The 18,727-nt window shown below is 39.6% G+C and overlaps 1 protein-coding gene and 1 pseudogene across 4 annotated transcripts in view; one reads left to right on the top strand and one right to left on the bottom strand.

Annotated features, from left to right (window-relative positions):
• HAUS6 (HAUS augmin like complex subunit 6) overlaps positions 1 to 18,727 on the top strand; it is a 49,764-nt gene that overhangs the window by 19,590 nt on the left and 11,447 nt on the right. For 2 of the 4 annotated variants that reach the window (NM_017645.5, XM_047423518.1), the window contains 5 exons: positions 272 to 442; positions 2,643 to 2,836; positions 5,013 to 5,139; positions 6,611 to 6,713; positions 13,015 to 13,096. In NM_017645.5, coding sequence (NP_060115.3) covers positions 272 to 442; positions 2,643 to 2,836; positions 5,013 to 5,139; positions 6,611 to 6,713; positions 13,015 to 13,096 — 677 coding nt within the window. Of the gene's footprint in view, positions 1 to 271; positions 443 to 2,642; positions 2,837 to 5,012; positions 5,140 to 6,610; positions 6,714 to 13,014; positions 13,097 to 17,692; positions 18,284 to 18,727 lie in introns of those variants that run through there. The other 2 variants (NM_001270890.2, XM_011517935.3) reach the window with 2 other exon arrangements.
• RNU6-264P (RNA, U6 small nuclear 264, pseudogene) lies at positions 9,369 to 9,472 on the bottom strand (annotated as a pseudogene).

Below are 18,727 nucleotides of genomic sequence, written 5' to 3'. Positions count from 1 at the left end.
GCAACATAGTAAGACCCCATCTCTGAAAACAAAAAAATTCTTAGATTTGTTTGAAAATTATAGTGAGCTAGATTCTCCTGATACATTTTTTTAAAAATTCCCTTTGGAAATAATATCCAAAGGGACTTTTAAACTATTAAAGTATAATTATTTAATTTTCTTACTAGAAATCATTCTAGGAAATTTGTTACTAAGAGTGAACATACATTTACATTTTTAAAATATGTACAGATTATGTGTGGACTTTAATATTTTGTTTCTGTTTCCAAAGGTTCGGTCTTTGTGGGCTTCAGTGAATGAAACGCTCATGTTTTTGGAAAAAGAGAGAGAAGTTGTTAGTTCGGTCCTTAGTCTTGTTAACCAATATGCTTTAGATGGAACTAATGTTGCTATTAATATTCCAAGGCTCTTACTTGACAAAATTGAGAAACAAATGTTTCAGGTAAGCATTTGATATTAAGGAAGCTTTTGAGAAAACTCCTATCATGTAATTGTATATTTTCTTGCAATGTTCTTCTGCTTTCAGAATTTGTTTTTTGTTTTTTGTTTTTTGTTTTTTTTTTGAGACAGAATTTTGCTCTTATTGCCCAGGCTGGAGTGCAATGGCGTGGCGTGGTTTCAGCTCACTGCAACCTCCGCCTCCCAGGTTCAAGAGATTCTCCTGCCTCAGCCTCCCGAGTAGCTGGGATTACAGGCATGTGCCACCACACCCAGCTAATTTTGTATTTTTAGTAGACGGGGTTTCTCCATGTTGGTCAGGCTGGTCTCGAGCTCCTGACCTCAGGTGATCCACCCACCTTGGCCTCCCAAAGTGCTGGGATTACAGGCGTGAGCCACCGCACCCGGCCAGAATTTATTTCTATGAGTGTGTTTAGTAAAACTTTCATAAGGAGTGATACTGTTAAAGGTGTGTATATTTATATTCACTTTTATTAATTGCCCCTTACCTGTACAGTACTACATCATATAGTACAGACAGTATGAAGTTTCTTAGTAGGAAGATGATACTGTACTAGTTCATTATAAATTCTCAAAGGCAACAACAGTGATCTCCTAATTGCCAAATGTCCTTTTAAAAAGTCTCCATCCCCTGGTTTGTGTTTTATCTTGATGCTGTTAAGTGTTGCTTGTAAAGCAACATTAAATAATGTTCTCCATGGTTCTTTTAATGCCCTCTTTTTCTTTCCGTCATTATAAATGTATTTGTATTTTCTTACCAATTTCATGACTTCAGCAGTCTCTCCTCATCAACCCAAACTCCATCCAGTTATTTCCACTTGCTTATGGGACATTATCTGGATAGCTTACTTTTTTGTTTTCTTAGAAAACACAATTCATCAAGCATCTATTATATACTGGAGAGATACAAAGATAAAATATTGTTGTGACTCTCTGAAGAGAGACACTTCTTTAGTAGAGACGGGGTTTCACCATGTTGGCCAGGCCGGCTTAGAGCTCCTGACCTCAAATGATCCTCTTGCCTCGGCCCCCAAAGTGCTGGGATTACAGGCGTGAGCCAGTGTGCCTGGCCCATAATTTTTGTGTGAAATCTATGATTTAAAAAGTATTGGAAACTGTCTGGGTATGGTGGCTCACACCTATAATCCCAACACTTTGGGAAGCTGAGGAGGGTAGATCACTTGCGGTCAGGTATTGAGACCAGCCTGGCCAACATGATGAAACCCTGTCTCTACTAAAAATACAAAAATTAGCTGGGCATGGTGGTGCACATCTGTAGTCCCAGCTACTTGGGAGGCTGAGGTGGGAGGATCGCTTGAATGCTTGGGTCGGAGGCTGCAATGAGCCAAGATTGAGCCACTGCACCCAGCCTGGGAGACAGAGTGGGATTCTGCCTCAAAAAAAAAAATTAAAATTAAAATTAAAAAATTGGCAACTAATTCAAATGATTTTAAGACATAGAAATGTGCAAGCCAAAGAAACATATTTAAGTACAGATACAGCCTTTAGGGGTCATTGATTTGTAACTTCTGTTAAAAAATGAATTTATGGTCTTTTCACTAAACCTGCTGTTTCTGCTCAATCTTTATTTTTCTTTCCATCTATTAACATTTCTTTTATTCTAGTTTTCAACCTTTTGTGTAATATAAAAATGTAGCAAAAAATGTAGCAAGGCATGTTACTCTTTCCTAGTAGTTTTCACTGGGCCAAAATTATTTACGTCATTTTATGTTTGGGGGTATTTGATTTTTTTCCCCCCGCTTTTTTTTTTGTTTGTTTGTTTGAGATGGAGTTTCACTCTTATTGCCCAGGCTGGAGTACAATGGCACAATCTCGGCTCACTGCAACCTCTGCCTCTTGGGTTCAAGCGATTCTCCTGCCTCAGCCTCTGGAGTAGCTGTGATTACAGGCATGTGCCACCACGCCCAGCTAATTTTGTATTTTTAGTAGAGACAGGGTTTCTCCATGTTGGTCAGGCTGGTCTCGAACTCCCGACCTCAGGTGATCCGCCCCCACCACCCCCAACTCCCAGAGTGCTGGGATTACAGGTGTGAGCCGTTGCGTCTGGCCTTTCCCTCTTCTTTAAGGTAAACTTTAATAGTAAAAAACATAAATATTTTTATGTAATAGTTTGTTGTAACAACCTATAGTTCACCAATTTTTTTCTCCTCCTGATTCCTTAGTTGCACATAGGAAATGTTTATGAGGCTGGAAAACTGAACCTCTTAACAGTTATTCAGTTATTAAATGAAGTCTTGAAGGTGATGAAATATGAACGTTGTCAGGCTGATCAAGCAAGATTGACGGTAGACCTTCACTACCTTGAAAAAGAGACCAAATTTCAGAAGGAAAGATTATCAGATCTGAAACATATGAGGTACACTAAAAAGATCTGTTATTTTACTGTGGGAGGAGTAGGGTGGTTTTCTCAACAAAACTTGTATAAGTTTAATAGCTCTTCAGCTTTGGCAAACAAGTATGAGAATTCTAATACTCAAAAATCTTACATAATCAACTCTTGGAGATATACATGAAGCAGAAAGGAAAAGGAAAATTAATGGAATAAATGATTTGCCCTGAATAATTTTTTTGTGAAATAATTTTAGCTTTTCTGTAGTTTTCTTTTGTTGGGTCTAATCTTAAAACCTTAGGAAAGTTTTTTTTTTTTTTTTTTTTTTTTTGAGACGGAGTTTCGCTCTCGTTGCCCAGGCTAGAGTGCAATGGCGCGATCTTGGCTCACCACAACCCCTGCCTCCTGAGTTCAAGTGATTCTCCTGCCTCAGCCTCTTGAGTAGCTGCGATTACAGGCATGTGCCACCACGCCTGGCTAATTTTGTATTTTTAGTAGAGATGGGTTTTCTCCATGTTGGTCAGGCTGGTCTCGAACTCCCGACCTCAGATGATCCACCTGCCTCGGCCTCCCAAAGTGCTGGGATTACAGGCGTGAGCCACCAAGCCAGGCCCCTTTTTTTTTTGAGACAGAGTCTTGCTCTGTTGCCCAGGCTAGAGTGCAATGGTGTGATCTCCCGGGTTCATGCGATTCTCCTGCCTCAGACTCCCGAGTAGCTGAGATTACAGGCACGCGCCATCACGCCTGGCTAATTTTTGTATTTTTAGTAGGGATGGGGTTTCACCATGTTGGCCAGGCTGGTCTTGAACTCCTGACCTCAGGTGATCCGCCTGCCTCAGCCTTTCGAACAGTTTTTTTATTAACCAGAAAGAATAGAAAGTATGGGCTGCTTATAGGAATGGACAGAGAGTGGGAGTGAAAGTTCTACTCAAGTTTAGAGCAAGGAAAAACTTCTATCTTAAAAATAAATGGAGTAGCTGGGCATGGTGGCTCACACTTGTAATCCCAGCACTTTGGGAGACTGAGGCAGGTGGATCACCTCAGGTCAGAAGTTCAAGACCATTCTGGCCAATATGGGGAAACTGCGTCCCTACCAAAAAGACACAATTAGCCAGGCGTGGTGGCGTGCGCCTGTAATCCCAGCTACTTAGTAGGCAGAGGCAGGAGAATCACTTGAACCTGGGAGGCAGAGGTTGCAGTGAGCTGAGATTGCACCATTGCACTCCTCCAGCCTGGGTGACAGAGTGAGACTCCATCTCAATAAAAAAAAAAAAAGAAAAAAAAATAATAAAATGGAGTAATAGATGTATTATTGTTTCGTGTATTTTTTTTTTTTTTTTTGAGACGGCATTTCCCTCTTTTTGCCTAGGCTGGAGCACAATAGCGCAATCTCGGCTTTCTGCAACGTCTGCCTCCTGATTTCAAGTGATTCTCCTGCCTCAGCTTGTTGAGTAGCTGGGATTACAGGTGCATGCCACCATGTCCAGCCAATTTTGTATTATTATTATTTTTCAGTAGAGACAGGGTTTCACCATTTTGGTCAGGCTGGTCTTGAACTCCTGACCTCATGTGATCCACCTGCCTCAGCCTCCCAAAGTTCTGGGATTATAGGTGTGAGCCACCATACCCGGCCTCTTTCTGGTCTTTTTTTTTTTTTTTTAAACTAATTTTTTAAAATTATTTATTTATTTATTTATTTTTTATTTTTGAGACGGAGTTTTACTCTTGTCTCCCAGGCTGGAGTGCATGGAGTGCAATGGCACGATCTCGGCTCACTGCAACCTCTGCCTCCTGGGTTCAAGCGATTCTCCTACCTCAGCCTCCTTAGTAGCTGAAATTACAGGCACCCACCCCTACGCCCGGCTAATTTTTGTATTTTTCATAGAGATGAGGTTTCACCACATTGGCCAGGCTGGTCTTGAACTCCTGACCTCAGGTGATCCACCTGCCTTGGCCTCCCAAACTGCTGGGATTACAGGCATGAGACACTGCCCCCGGCCTTCTTTATGGTCATAAAAAGAGAAAGGTATTTTAGGTTCTGAATATTCACCTGTGAGAGTTTATTTAATTTATATGTGGTATATTGATTGAACTTTCACTTCTATTTCCTTCCACTTCTCTACAACTATTGTTATTTTCTTAAATTTTACTCAGTGCTTTTTTTGTATCATCTTTTGAATAAAGTTTTTTTATGCTATTATAGGTATAGAATAAAAGATGATCTCACAACTATAAGACATTCTGTTGTTGAAAAGCAAGGAGAATGGCATAAAAAGTGGAAAGAATTTCTTGGTTTGTCTCCTTTCAGTCTAATTAAAGGTTGGACTCCAGTAAGTAATGTTGACTTGCCCCTGCCCTCCCCGCCACCCACCTTTTTTTTTTTTTTTGAGACAGTGTCTTGCTCTGTTGCCCAGGCTGGAGTAGAGTGGCACGATCATAGCTGGCTGGAGTACAGTGGCACGATCATAGCTGGCTGGAGTACGGTGGCATGATCATAGCTTGTTGTAACCTTGAACTTCCGGGCTCAAGCAATCCTCCCACCTCAGCCTTCTGAGTAGCTGGGACTACAGGTTTGCACCACCAAGCCTGGCTAATTTTTTCTTTAATTTTATAGATAGGGTCTCCCTATATTGCCAAGGCTGGTCTCAAACTCCTGGGCTCAAGGGATCTTCCTGCCTCGGCCTCCCCAAAGTACTGGGATTACAGGCATGAGCCACTACACTCAGCCAATTTGCCTTTTGGAGAATAGTTTCATATATGGCAATTTGTGAATTTATTGTGTTACAAATGACCTAGAAATGTTGTATGTATGTCATCTTTCATTTGAGTCTAAAGTTTCTATGTTATGGTTTCTGTAATTTTTCTAAATGTATATATAATATAATATCCATAAGTTGCTGTTATTTAGAGTTAATATTTTTAGATTCGAAGGATTGTATGAAAAAGAAAACAATTATTATTATTATTTTTTGAGACAGAGTCTTGCTCTATTGCCCAGGCTGGAGTGCAGTGGCACGATCTCAGCTCACTGCAGCCTCTGCCTTCGAGGTTCAAGTGGTTCTACTGCCTCGGCCTCCCAAGTAGCCGGGACTAAAGGTGCCCGCCACCACGCTCGGCTAATTTTTCTATTTTCAGTAGAGATGGGGTTTTACCACGTTGGCCAGGCTGGTCTCGAATACCTGACTTCAGGTGATCCACCTGCCTCTGCCTCCCAAAGTGCTGGGATTATGGGCGTGAGCCACTGTGCCCAGCCAGAAAACAAGACTCCTCTTGATGTGAGGTACTATGATGTTTGAGAAATTCAAGGACTAAGTAATCCCCCTTGCTCCTAATGTTGTACTCTGCTTTAAAAATAGTTATAGGGCTGGGCGTGGTGGCTCACACATGTCATCCCACTGTTTTGGGAGGCAGAGGCAGGAGGATCATTTGAGGCCAGGAATTGGAGACCAGCCTGGACAACATGGTGAGACCTTATCTCTACCAAAAACAACCCCCAAAACTGGGTGTTGTGGTGTGTCTCTGCAGGCCTAGCTACTCGAGAGGCTGAAGTGGGAGGACTGCTTAAGTCCAGGAGTTTGAGGCTGCAGTGAGCTATGATAATGTCACTGCTCTTTAGCCTAGGCGAGGGACTGAGACCCTGTCTTTAAGAAAAATAAATAAATAAAAATAGTTATCTGATACATTCTTGGTAATTCTGACTTTCTTATTGAGAAGATAATCTATTCATAGATTAACTCAGTATTGTTATTGTGGTAGTTAGCAAATATGTTTACTTCAAAATTGTGAATTTTCTGTTTTAAGTCTGTAGATCTTTTACCACCAATGTCTCCCCTTTCGTTTGATCCTGCCTCAGAAGAAGTGTATGCAAAGAGTATTCTTTGTCAGTATCCTGCTTCACTTCCAGGTTGGTTATTTATTTATTTTTTTCTCTTTGAAACCTCCTTCCTGTCATTCTTTTTCATTATAATAATAGTTCTTTAAATTCCTTATCTTTTTCCTCCATTTTTTTTTATTGTGGTGAAATGCATGTAACATAAAATTCACAATTTCAGTTATTGCAAAGTATATAACTCAGTGGCATTTAGTACATTTACAATGTTGTGCAGTCATCATCACTATCTAGTTCTTGAACTTTTTCTTTTATTTTTTTTTGAGACAGGGTCTCACTTTGTTGCCCAAGCTGGAGTGCAGTCGAACAATCTCAGCTCACTGTAGCCTTGACCACCCCAGGCTCAAGTGATCCTCCCACCTCAGCCTCTCATGTGGCTGGGACACCACACCCGTCTAATTTTTATATTTTTTTTTTTTTGTAGAAATGGGATTTCACCATGTTGCCCGGGCTGATCTTGAACTCCTGGGCTCAAATGATTGACCCGTCTCAGCCTCCCAAAGTGCTGGGATTACAGGCATGAGCCACTGAGCCCAGCCCCCAGAATATTTTCATCATCTCAAAAAAACCCTCTAACCCACTAATCAGTCACTTCCATTTTCCCCGCTAGTCCCTGGCAGCCAGTAATGTACTTGTGTTTTTTTTTTTTTTTTTTTCCGAGATGGAGTCTTGCTCTGTTGCCCAGGCTGGAGTGCAGTGGCGCAATCTCAGCTCACTGCAACCTCTACCTTGGGTTCAAGCAATTAACCATCTTGCCTCAGCCTCCTGAGGAGCTGGGATCACAGGTATGCGCCACCACACCTGGCTAATTTTTTTTGTATTTTTAGTAGAGACGGAGTTTCACCATGTTGGCCAGGCTGGTCTTGAGCTCCTGACCTCGAATGATCCGCCCGCCTTGGCCTCCCAAAGTGCTGGGATTATAGGTGTGAGCCACTGTGCCTGGCCCATTAATGTACTTCTTATCTCTATGTATTTGTCTGTTCTGGATATTTCATATAAATGAAGTCATATAATATGAGTCCTGTTGTTTCTGGCTTCTTTCACTTGCACTGTTTTTAACTTTGCACAATGTTTTCTCAAACTGATTCCAAGCAATTCTCCTTCCTTGGCCTCCCAAAGTGCTGGGATTATAGGTGTGAGGCACCACATGTGCAGTATTTTCAAGTTTTTTACATCTTGTAGCATGTATCAGCGTTCAATTTTTAAAAATCAGATTTGTTGAGATATAATTCACATATACAATTCACCCATTGAAAATGTACAATTTCTTGCTTTTTGCTAAATTCACAAATATGTGCAACCATCATCACAATTGTAAACATTTTCATCACTTGAAAAAGAAACCTCATACCCTTTAGCTATCACCCCCCAATCCCCCTTCACTTCTCCAGTTCAAAGCAATTATGAAGATATTTTCTGTCTCCAGATTTCCCTGTTCTGGATTTTCATATGGATGGAATCATATCATATATAGACTTTTGTGACTGGCTTCTTTCACTTAGCATAGCGTTTTCAAAGTTCATCTAAGTTGTGGCATGTATCAGTCAGTATTACATTCCTTTTCTATGAATACATGCCATTGTATCCTCTACCACATTTTGTTTATCCATTCATCTGTTGATGGACATTTGGGTTGTTTTCACCTTTTGACTATTATGAGTAATGCTTCTATAAACATTCTGTACAGGTTTTTTGTGGAAGCTCACAATTTTTTTTAACATGAAAGAATAGTACAATAATTAACCTGTGTTAATTAGCACATGTGTACAAGACAATTAGGTTCTGTAAATAGAGGATAGATAAGGAATGAATGAATAAAAAACAAATTTTATAGCCAAACTGGAGCAGGTAATAGTTGTAGGCTGTAGTTCAGTTAGGTGAAAGGTCATGACAGCAGTTAGCACAGGACTTAATCACTGGGATAGGTAATTGGTTTGAGAGTCAGGTGTATTTGGGGAGGACACTGGTTGGGAAAGATTATAGACCAGAGAGCAAGGCTCAGTTTAGGTGCAACCAGAAGAGAAGACATAGAAAAGTCTGCATAGGGCTGGGCATAGCAGCTCACACCTATAATCCTGGCACTTTGGGAAGCCTAGGGTGGAAGATTGCTTAAGCCCAGGAGTTCGAGACCAGCCTGGACAACATAGTGAGACCCATTCTCTACAAAAAAATGAAAAATTAGCCAGGCCTGGTGGTGTGTGTCTGTAGTCCTAGCTATTCAGGAGGCTGAGGCAGGAGAATCATTTGAGCCCGGGAGTTCAAGGCTGCAATGATCTATTACTGCTCCACTGCACAATGCTCTAGCCTGGACAACAGAGTAAGACCCTCTCTCTCTTCTTTCTCTTTTTCTTAAATTTTTTTGATTTTTTTTTGAGACAGAATCTCACTGTCATCCAGGTTGGAGTGCAGTGGTGCGATCTCGGCTCATTGCAACCTTCGCCTCCCGGGTTCAAGCAATTCTCCTGCCTCAGCCTCCCCAGTAGCTGGGATTACAGGCACACTCTGCCATGCCTGGCTAATTTTTTATATTTTAGTAGAGACAGGGTTTCACCGTGTTGCCCAGGCTGGTCTCAAACTCCTGAGCTCAGCCATTCCGCCTGCCTAGCCTCCCAAAGTGCTGGGATTACAGGTGTGAGCCACCGTACCTGGCCCTTTTTCTTAAATTTTAACTTAAACTTTTATTTTAAATTAAAAATTAGTGTTATGCATGCTCAGGGGCCATGTTAATCTCTGTATTGTTCCAATTTTAATATATGTGCAGCTGAAGTGAGCATGAGACCCTGTCTCTTAAAAAAATAAAAGGCTGCATTGTTTGATAAATGAGGGGGAGCTTCAGATAGAGCATCCTGGTTCCATGGTGGCTTTGGACAGTCCTTAATTATGGTAGAATTCTTTTGATAGCTCTTGGCTTTGTTTTTATCTCTTTTATTTTTATTTTTTATTTTTGAATTATTTCTCTCTTTTTTTTTTTTTTGGAGATCCACTAGTCAACAGAGCTCTTAGGGTTGTGTTGTGTTTTCATTTCAGTTGGGAAAGGGCTTTTGCACTCTTGCCAGGATTAGTTTACCCCTTCGAATCTATGAAATTCTCATGTCCATTTGGAGGTTTCTCTACTTGCCTTTATACTGAGGGAAAATGTGTCCGTTTAGGAAGTCCAGTTGGAAGTTGTACTCTTGGGAGTCCTTTTTTTTTTTCCTAGTATAGAACCTTGATCTGAGCTGGGCTACTTCAACATTATATTTTTTGTGGTAAAACAACCTTTTCCGCCTTCCTATACCTTACATATTGCATCTTACTTAATTTACTTTAAAAATGTTTTTTAGAATTATATTTCAGCATATTTAAAAGTACAGAGAATAATATTATAAATACTTGTTTATTAAACACCTTTTTTTGGCAAAGGTTTGCAATATTCACTTTAGGTTTTTTAAAAGGTACATATGTAGTTAATCCTTGGATATCCACCTTTCTTCACCTTCCTTACTGATTTCACAGAGGTAATCACTATTCTGAATCTAATCTTTATTCTGATGTATGTTTATAAAATAAATTTATTACATATGTATAGACCTATAAACAATATGTAATATTGTTCTTCCTCTTTTTTAAAGTTTATAAATGAAAATTTTTTATTATCTTCCAAAAGGTTCTTTGTTAATGTTTGTATTTTTCAAACAAGGATCCAGGGAGGGTTAGTTCATTACATGTGATTGTTTTATTTTCTTAGTAACTTTTATTCTAGAATAATGCCTGTCTTTTTTTAATGACATTGATAGAAATTGTTTTTAACAATTACTATGTTTAAATTGAGCAACACGATTAATGACTTTTTTGGTCTATTCTTTTGTTCTTCTCCTTTTGAGAAGTGTATCTCAAAGTATATGCTTAGTTCTTGGACTCTGAATAGTAAAATTCTCGTTCTTTCTTTGAAAATGTCTTCATTTGCACTCATTTTTGAATGATAGTTTAGTTGGATATAGAATTCTAGATTGACATTTATTTGTCTTTCAGACTTCCATGATATAATCTCGTTGTTTTCTGTTGTTTTTGAGGCTGTTTGCTCTTGGTCTACTTGTCATTCATTTGTAGTTAATTTTTTTTTTTTTTTGAGACAGAGTCTTTATTACCCAGGCTTGAGTGTAGTGGCACAATCTCAGCTCACTGCAACCTCTGCCTCCCGGGTTCAAGCAATTCTTCTGCCTAAGCTTCCCATGTAGCTGGGATTCCTGGCGTGTGCCATCACACCTGGCTAATTTTTGTATTTTTAGTAGAGACGGGGTTTCACCATGTTGAACAGGTTGGTCTTGAACTACTGACCTCAAGTGATCTGCCCGCCTTGGCCTCCCAAAGTGCTGAGATTACAGGTGTTAGTCATCGTACCTGGCCCATTTGTAGTTAGTTAATTTTTCTTTTCTTTTTTTTTTTTGAGAGGGAGTTTCACTGTTGTTGCCCAGGCTGGAGTGCAATGGCATGATTTCCACTCACTGCAACCTCTGCCTCTTGGGTTCAAGCGCTTCCCCTAGTTCAAGCTTCCAAGTAGCTGGGATTACAGGCATGTGCCACCATGCCCAGCTGATTTTTGTATTTTTAGTAGAGACGGGGCCAGGCTGGTCTCAAACTCCTGACCTTAGGTGATCCGCCCACCTTGGCCTCCCAAAGTGTTGGGATTACAGGCATGAGCCACTGGGCTCGGCCCATTTATAGTTAGTTAATTTTTGATTTCTGGTTGCTTTTAAGGTTTTTCTTTGGCTGGGCGTGGTGGCTCACGCCTGTAATCCCAGCACTTTGGGAGCCTGAGGCAGGAGGATTGCTTGAGCCTAGGAGACCAACCTGGGCAATAAAGTGAAACCCTGTCTCTATAAAAAAACACAAAAAATTAGCTGGGCATGGTGTCATGCACCTGTGGCCCCAGTTACTTTTGAGGCTGAGGTGGGAGGATCGCTTGAGCCCAGGAAGTCGAGGCTGTAGTGAGCCATGATTGTGGTACTGCAGTCAGCCTGGGTGACAAAGCAAGACCCTGTCTCAAAAAAAAAAAAAAAAAAAGAAAATATTTTTCTTTTGTATTATGCAGGTTCACTGGGATATATCTAAATGTAGTTTTGTTTTATTTAGCCTATTTGGGATTTGTGTGTGCTTATTTATTCTGAAAGCTCATATCTTCAGTTTAGAAACTTATTCACCAATATCTCTTAAAATATTACTTTATCTCTTATTCTTTTGATCCTTTCCTTCTGAAACTCCTATTGTTGGGACTTCTAATTCTGTCTTTCATATCTTTTAACTTCTCATTCATATTTACAACTTTTTTGTATCTCATGGCTTCATTCTAGGTATTTTCTTTAGATACCTCCTATAACTCACTGATTTATCTTTTAGTTATGTTTAATCTGCTTTTTGACCTGTCTGTCTAGTATTTAGTAGTCATAGGTATATACTTTTTACCTCTGTAATCCTTACTTCTTTTCTGTAACTGCCTGTTTTTCATGGTGTCATCTTTCATTATGGCTTCTGTTCCACTTGGACATGTACAAATGGGGAAAGCCTTTCAGAAGGTAACATGATGAAAGAGGTCGAGCCCTTGGAATATCAGATCTTCTGTAATCCAGTCATGGCTTTCTCTACCAATCTTATTTCCCACCATGCTTCCACTGGATGTACCCTGTGCTCCATCATAGCAACTTGTACCTCGTTCTCTCAGTACCTTCATGCCTTCTTCCCACTCTGCAGTCTGGGCTGGATGTCTGTCCTCTGCCTCCTTAAATTCTGTATATACTTCTGTCATAATACTGTAGAAGTATAACATAACACTTGACTCATCACTATCCTTTCCTAGACTGACTCTTCGGAGGCAACATTTCCATCTTTCATTTCTTTCTTCCATTGTTGGTATGGTAGTAGCATGTAGTTATTCAGTCATAGGTTGAAGAATAAATATATAGGTTGACTGATACCATAAATGTGCACTGAAATATGCTAAGACTGTAACTTTTTGGCCTTGCTGGCTTTTGTGATAATCTCATGATCTGTGTATGTAAACATGAAGCATATAACACTGGGGAATTATGGATTCTTAGTCTTTGAGTAACTTGTTTTAGTATTAGCCATCATTTCTTTTATAAAAGCTAGATGTTCTCTATTACTTTTCTGCTCATCACTTTATACTTATCAATTGAATAATTATGTTTTCCTATTAGTGTTCATATTTTGGTTTTTCTGTTTTCTTCTGTTTACAAGTTGTTCTCGAATTTCAAGGAATCCTTGAATGTTAGAATGTACAAACATAATTAAAGAGTAACCAATTTTTAAATTTCTTTAGATGCACATAAGCAACATAACCAAGAAAATGGTTGCAGAGGAGACAGTGATACCTTGGGAGCGCTACATGATCTAGCCAACAGGTAAAACAAATTTGATTTTCTTTTGTTAAACATTAAAAAACTCTTATTTTATAAAAAATAGAGATGGAACTGAGAGGTGAAGCCAGCTGGACTTCTGGGTCTGTTGGGGAGTTGGAGAACTTTTCTGTATTACAAGAGGATTGTAAAAACGCACCAATCACTGGATGTAGTGGCTCACTCCTGTAATCCTAGCACTTTGGGAGGCTGAGGTGGGAAGATCGCTTGAGCCCAGGAGTTCTAGACCAGTACAGGCATAGCAAGACCCTGTCTGTACTAAAAGGAAAAACAAAAGGTGTGGTCTTTCTGGGTTGCAGAGGCTAGTCTTTAACTCTTGGCCTCAAGTGATCCTCCTGCCGGGGCCTCCCAAAGTGCTGGGATTATGGTCATAACCTCCTGTGCCTGACCCAAATTTGATTTTTATATTGATTTTTTTATATATTAATTTTATTCCCATCTTAAACCAGTTTCCAATCTTATTTACTCTGGGATAGTGCATAATTTTGCCTTTTGTTTTTTTTTGAAATGGAGTCTTGCTCTTGTTTCCTAGGCTGGAGTGCAATGGCACGATTTTGGCTCACTGCAACATCCCCGCCTCCTGGGTTCAAATAGTTCCCCTCCTGGGTTCAGGCTACCTCCTAAGTAGCTGGCATTACAAGCGCCTGCCACCACACTTGGGTAATTTTTGTATTTTTAGTAGAGATGAGGTTTCACCATGTTGGCCAGGCTGGTCTCGAACTCCTGATCTCAGGTGATCTACCCGCCTTGGCCTCCCAAAGTGCTGTGATTACAGATGTGAGCCACCGCACCCGGCCAATTTTGCCCTTTTAACTGGACAATATTTTTCTACCATAGACCCACATTTTCAGAAAAGATCCAACATTTATGATACATGGGCATTTTTTCCTCTTCTATTCTTTATCTAAATATTGAGTTTCATGGGGATTATTTGGAAATTATCTAATGCAAATTTGAGAGTTTTTGCCTTTTTATGTATGTGAACTTTTTTGAAACTAAGTTCAAGTGTTTGGGGGCCTTTGAGATCATCTTGTCCAGATAGTTTTCAGACTACATCCTATAGTGCCATTTGGTGCTGTGGATGTATCTAACATAACCCGTGGCTGGTCCAGCCTTTTCCCACTTTAGCCTTGGGCAACTTGCTCTTTTATATATGTTATATATTGTGGTGTTTGGTAAACTATTCGATAAGAAGAGTTCCATGCTTAAAAAAAAATTGGACAACTTCTGATTTACTATAACCACCAGATTTAACATATGAAAAAACTGGATTTTGTTCTAACTTCCTCCAGTAATATTCCTATTTTCTTTATTGCCTTTTTTTTTCTCTATTATCCCATTTTGGACTAATTACAGATTATATGAGCAAAAAATCTGTGAACTAAATGTATGTAATCCGATTGGGGAACATATTAGTTCTTCATTGAAATTAAACATTATTAAGTAGCAATCAAACACGAAACTTTCCTTTATTAGTTTTTTTTTTTTTAATTGTTTTTTAACCTAAATAGGTGTCTTTCATTACAACTTCCCCAAGTAGATGAGGGACAGATGAAAATAAAATACTTAGGAAAATTATAAAGGAAAATCCTAAATTTTAAATGAAGCACTCATCATTCTATGCCATCTTAGTAAGTTAATAAGCTGTAACACTAACCAGAGTTAAAACTTTTTTTGTAAAATTGAGTTATTGGTAATTGGTTCTGCAGTAATCTAGTTCACAGGCAGTCAGGACTAGTTGTGGAAGAACCATATTTTAGTCTATCTGGATTTGATGTTAATTTTTTGAGTGCCTAAAGAAAAATAATGAAATCTTCTCTGAGGACCTGTAATCTAGTTCACAGGCAGTCAGGACTAGTTGTGGAAGAACCATATTTTAGTCTATCTGGATTTGATGTTAATTTTTTGAGTGCCTAAAGAAAAATAATGAAATCTTCTCTGAGGACCTGGTGTTAAGAGATAGTAAAGTTACTGGCCTACCCATTTTACACTCATATCACAGTTCTTTTTATGGCAGGCTAGGGGAGGGTATGGTTGGTGCTTCCCAAACTCAGTTATGTTTTCGATTTGTCTTCCTTGAGGGAGCAAACTAAATATTTTGATTAAGGTGTTTTGCTGGACTAAAGATTGATAGGGATACTAGATTAATATATATAGCAGATTTTATTCATGAACCCCATTAAACCTCAAGATAACTTTTTTTTTTGGGGGGCCAGGTGCGGTGGCTCATGCCTGTAATCCCAGCACTTTAGGAGGCTGAGGTGGGTGGCTCACCTGAGGTCAGGAGTTCGAGACTAGCCTGACCAACATGGTGAAACCCCGTCTCTACTTAAAATACAAAAAATTAGCTGGGTGTGGTGGCGCATGCTTATAATCCCAACTACTTACTTGGGAGGCTGAGACAGGAGAATTGCTTGAACCCAGGTGGCGGAGGTTGCGGCGAGCCGAGGTTGCACCATTGCACTCCAGCCTGGACAACAAGAGTGAAACTCTATCTGAAAAAGAAAAACAAAATTCTTTTTGAAGAATTTTGTACCAAGATACTATCAGAATTCTGTAAGAGCCAGAAACTCAACCCCTAAGAATTTAGTTCAAATGGAAACTCTTAATATAGGAAAAAGAAGGTCTATTAGATATACTTTGATTTCCACATCTGTCTTCTTCTAAGCTCCTGAATCTTTTAGTTATATTCTGATTATTTTAATTATAGATTTGAAATACTGAAGGGAGGTAGGGGAAGGCCTGGTGGTGAGGGATAAATGGTTAATGGGATATAAAAGATTATCATTGCTAGATATCAGAATAAAACAGAAGGCCTGTGAAAAGCTAAGTTTCTGGGACGTGGAAGTAGTCTGCTCAGAATTCTTCACTGTTAAAGGTATATGTAGTTACATGTTCCATCAGTAATATGTAACATAGGTGGACTGTACTTAATGAAAGAAGATAATACCTTTTTTGCATGTAGTTCAGCAATTACACTATTTTATCTGCAATACATCATCTTTTATCAGTAATAATGTAGTTAACTGGGAAATTCATATGTGGATATGATCAATATAACTATTCAACTAAAAAAGCATGGAAAGAATGTAGTTTTTAGAGAGTGTTATCAGCCCTATCACATGCAGTTGTCATTCATGGATACCAAAAGATATGTAGTCTTTTCCATAAATCTCATTGCTGGCTTTTTTTTTTTTTGAGAAGGGACTTGCTCTGCTACCCAGGCAGGAGTGCAGTGGTGCAGTCATAGCTCACTGCAGCCTTGATCTCCTGGGCTCAAGTGATCCTCCCATCTCAGCTACCCAAGTAGCTAGGAGTGCAGGCATGCACCTCCACACCCAGCTAATTAAATTTTTTTTTTTTTTTTTTTTTTGTAGAGATGAGGTCTCACTATGTTGCCCAGGCTGGTCTCAAACTTCTGAGCTCAGGTGATCCTCCCACCCCGACCTCCCAAAATGCTAGGGTTTCAGACGTGAGCCACCTTGCCTGGCTTCCATTTCTGGTTCTGATCAGAGCGAGAGGCTGCATTATACTTAAAACCAGAATTCAGCAATTGGTGATGCCTTTGCTGTACACTGTGAGCATTAGCATTCTTTGCAATGGCTTTTTGTGTTTGTGTGTGTGGGGGGGAGTTCCATGATATTTCTAACGGTAATGATGCTGTTGTTCTAGACATCTAACTTCTATGTTTTCTCCTATACCACATTTCAAAGATAAGGAGGGCAGTATGATCTTGCATACGTGCCAGCTAAATGTCATTTGTGTTAGAAATTGAATTCTAGTCTCATATCTTTCTCTTTTTATAGTTTCTATTTTTATTTTTCTCCTAATTATTGGTATAACAACAGCAACAAATAAAAATGAGAAATAATTGGTTAAAGTTTTTAAGGAATCACTTGTAACTCCCTCCCCCGCCCCGCCAAGTTCTTATCTAGGCTTTGTATACCACGATATATAAATTTAGCTCTAGCTGGGCATGGTGGCTCATGCCTGTAATCCCAGCACTTTGGGATGCTGAGGCAGGCAGATCACCTGAGGTCAGGAGTTTGAGAACAGCCTGGCCAACATGGTGAAACCCTGTCCCTATTAAAACTACAAAAATTAGCCAGGTGTGGTGGTCGGCACCTGTAATTCCAGCTACTCAGGAGGCTGGGGCAGGAGAAGTGCTTGAACCCAGGAGGCGGAGGTTGCAGTGAGCCAGGATCCCGCCACTGCACTCCAGTGTGGGCGACAGAGTGAGAGTCTGTCTCAAAAAAAAAAAAAAAAAATTTTTGGCTGTGATCAAAGGATGGATACAATCTAAATACAAATTTTAAAATGCAGAATTCTAAAGTACAAAATTTTATTCATTAATTTATTTTTGAGGCGGAGTTTCGTTCCTGTTGCCCAGGCTGGAGTGCAATGGCACGATCTCGGCTCACTGCAACTGCTGCCTCCTGGGTTCAAGCGATTCTCTTGCTTCAGCCTCCCGAGTAGCTGGGATTACAGGCGCCCATGACCACACCTGGCTAATTTTTGTATTTTTAGTAGATATGGGGTTTCATCATGTTGGCGAGGCTGGTCTTCAACTCCTGACCTCAGGTGATCCGCTTGCCTCAGCCTCCCAAAGTGGTGGGATTACAGGCGTGAGCCACCGCGCCCAGCCCAAAATTTTAAAACATTAACATAGTATAAACGGTTGTGATTTTTTTTTGGCTGTCTGTATGTTTAAATAACATATTAACCAATTTTCATTGATAATAGCTTTGTAACACTACATTTATTTGTAGACTTGAATTTTCTCTCAATTTTATTTTTTACTACTATAAAAAGTGTGTTCCTCTTTTTTCTCTCTGTTCTTCCCTTAGGATAAATTTCCACAAGGGGATCACCATCCTTCTGTTTTGTTACAGTGCTAGGATTTCATAGGCCTCAATCTTGGCATGGCAAATGGACGAAGTATAAAGACTGAGCCAGGGCTGCTTTAAACTTGTCTTAGATTATGATGTTAGCAGGTTTAATAGCATGTTGCCAGTTCAGAAATGAGAGAGGGGAGGGTACAGAATGTTTCCATTGTTCTCTGCTATAAGGTTCCACAAGAATCATTCAAATGGAAACACTTGTCACCTATAGAACCCCATTCTCAAGTGGCATTTACTCATCGATTCCATCAATCCATCAAATAGTTAACATGTATGTATTGCACTACCAACCACTGTGTTAGCCTCTGGGAATAGCCTTAGGGAAAGACATAGCCTTTGTCCTTACCTTCTTGTGGTGGTGGCACCTTAGTGGCATTGGTCCATAGATTGCTGGCTCTGTTTCAGGGGGCTTTTTGATAATTTTAATGTTAAGTTTCCCTCAAAATCTAGTAGATGATCAATTCTTTGCCTTTGATATCTGGATTATATTTTGTCAATGCTACGTTGAAGCTTGAGTGATTGCAGTGATTTTGAATTATGTTTGGAACGTAGGCAAAGACTCTAAGAGTGCATATTTGAAAAAGTTTGAAAATTACATTTACTATGATATAAAATATTTGCAGTGCTATTAATTTTGTACTTCTAGTTATAAGAAGAAAGGAAAGTACCAACATGCATGCTGTTGAAAGCAGTCTTTGATAATCCTGTCTTATAG

Source organism: Homo sapiens, chromosome 9, assembly GCF_000001405.40.
Source record: "Homo sapiens chromosome 9, GRCh38.p14 Primary Assembly".
Taxonomy (NCBI): Eukaryota; Metazoa; Chordata; class Mammalia; order Primates; family Hominidae; genus Homo; species Homo sapiens.
This window is presented reverse-complemented; position numbering and strand designations above follow the sequence as displayed.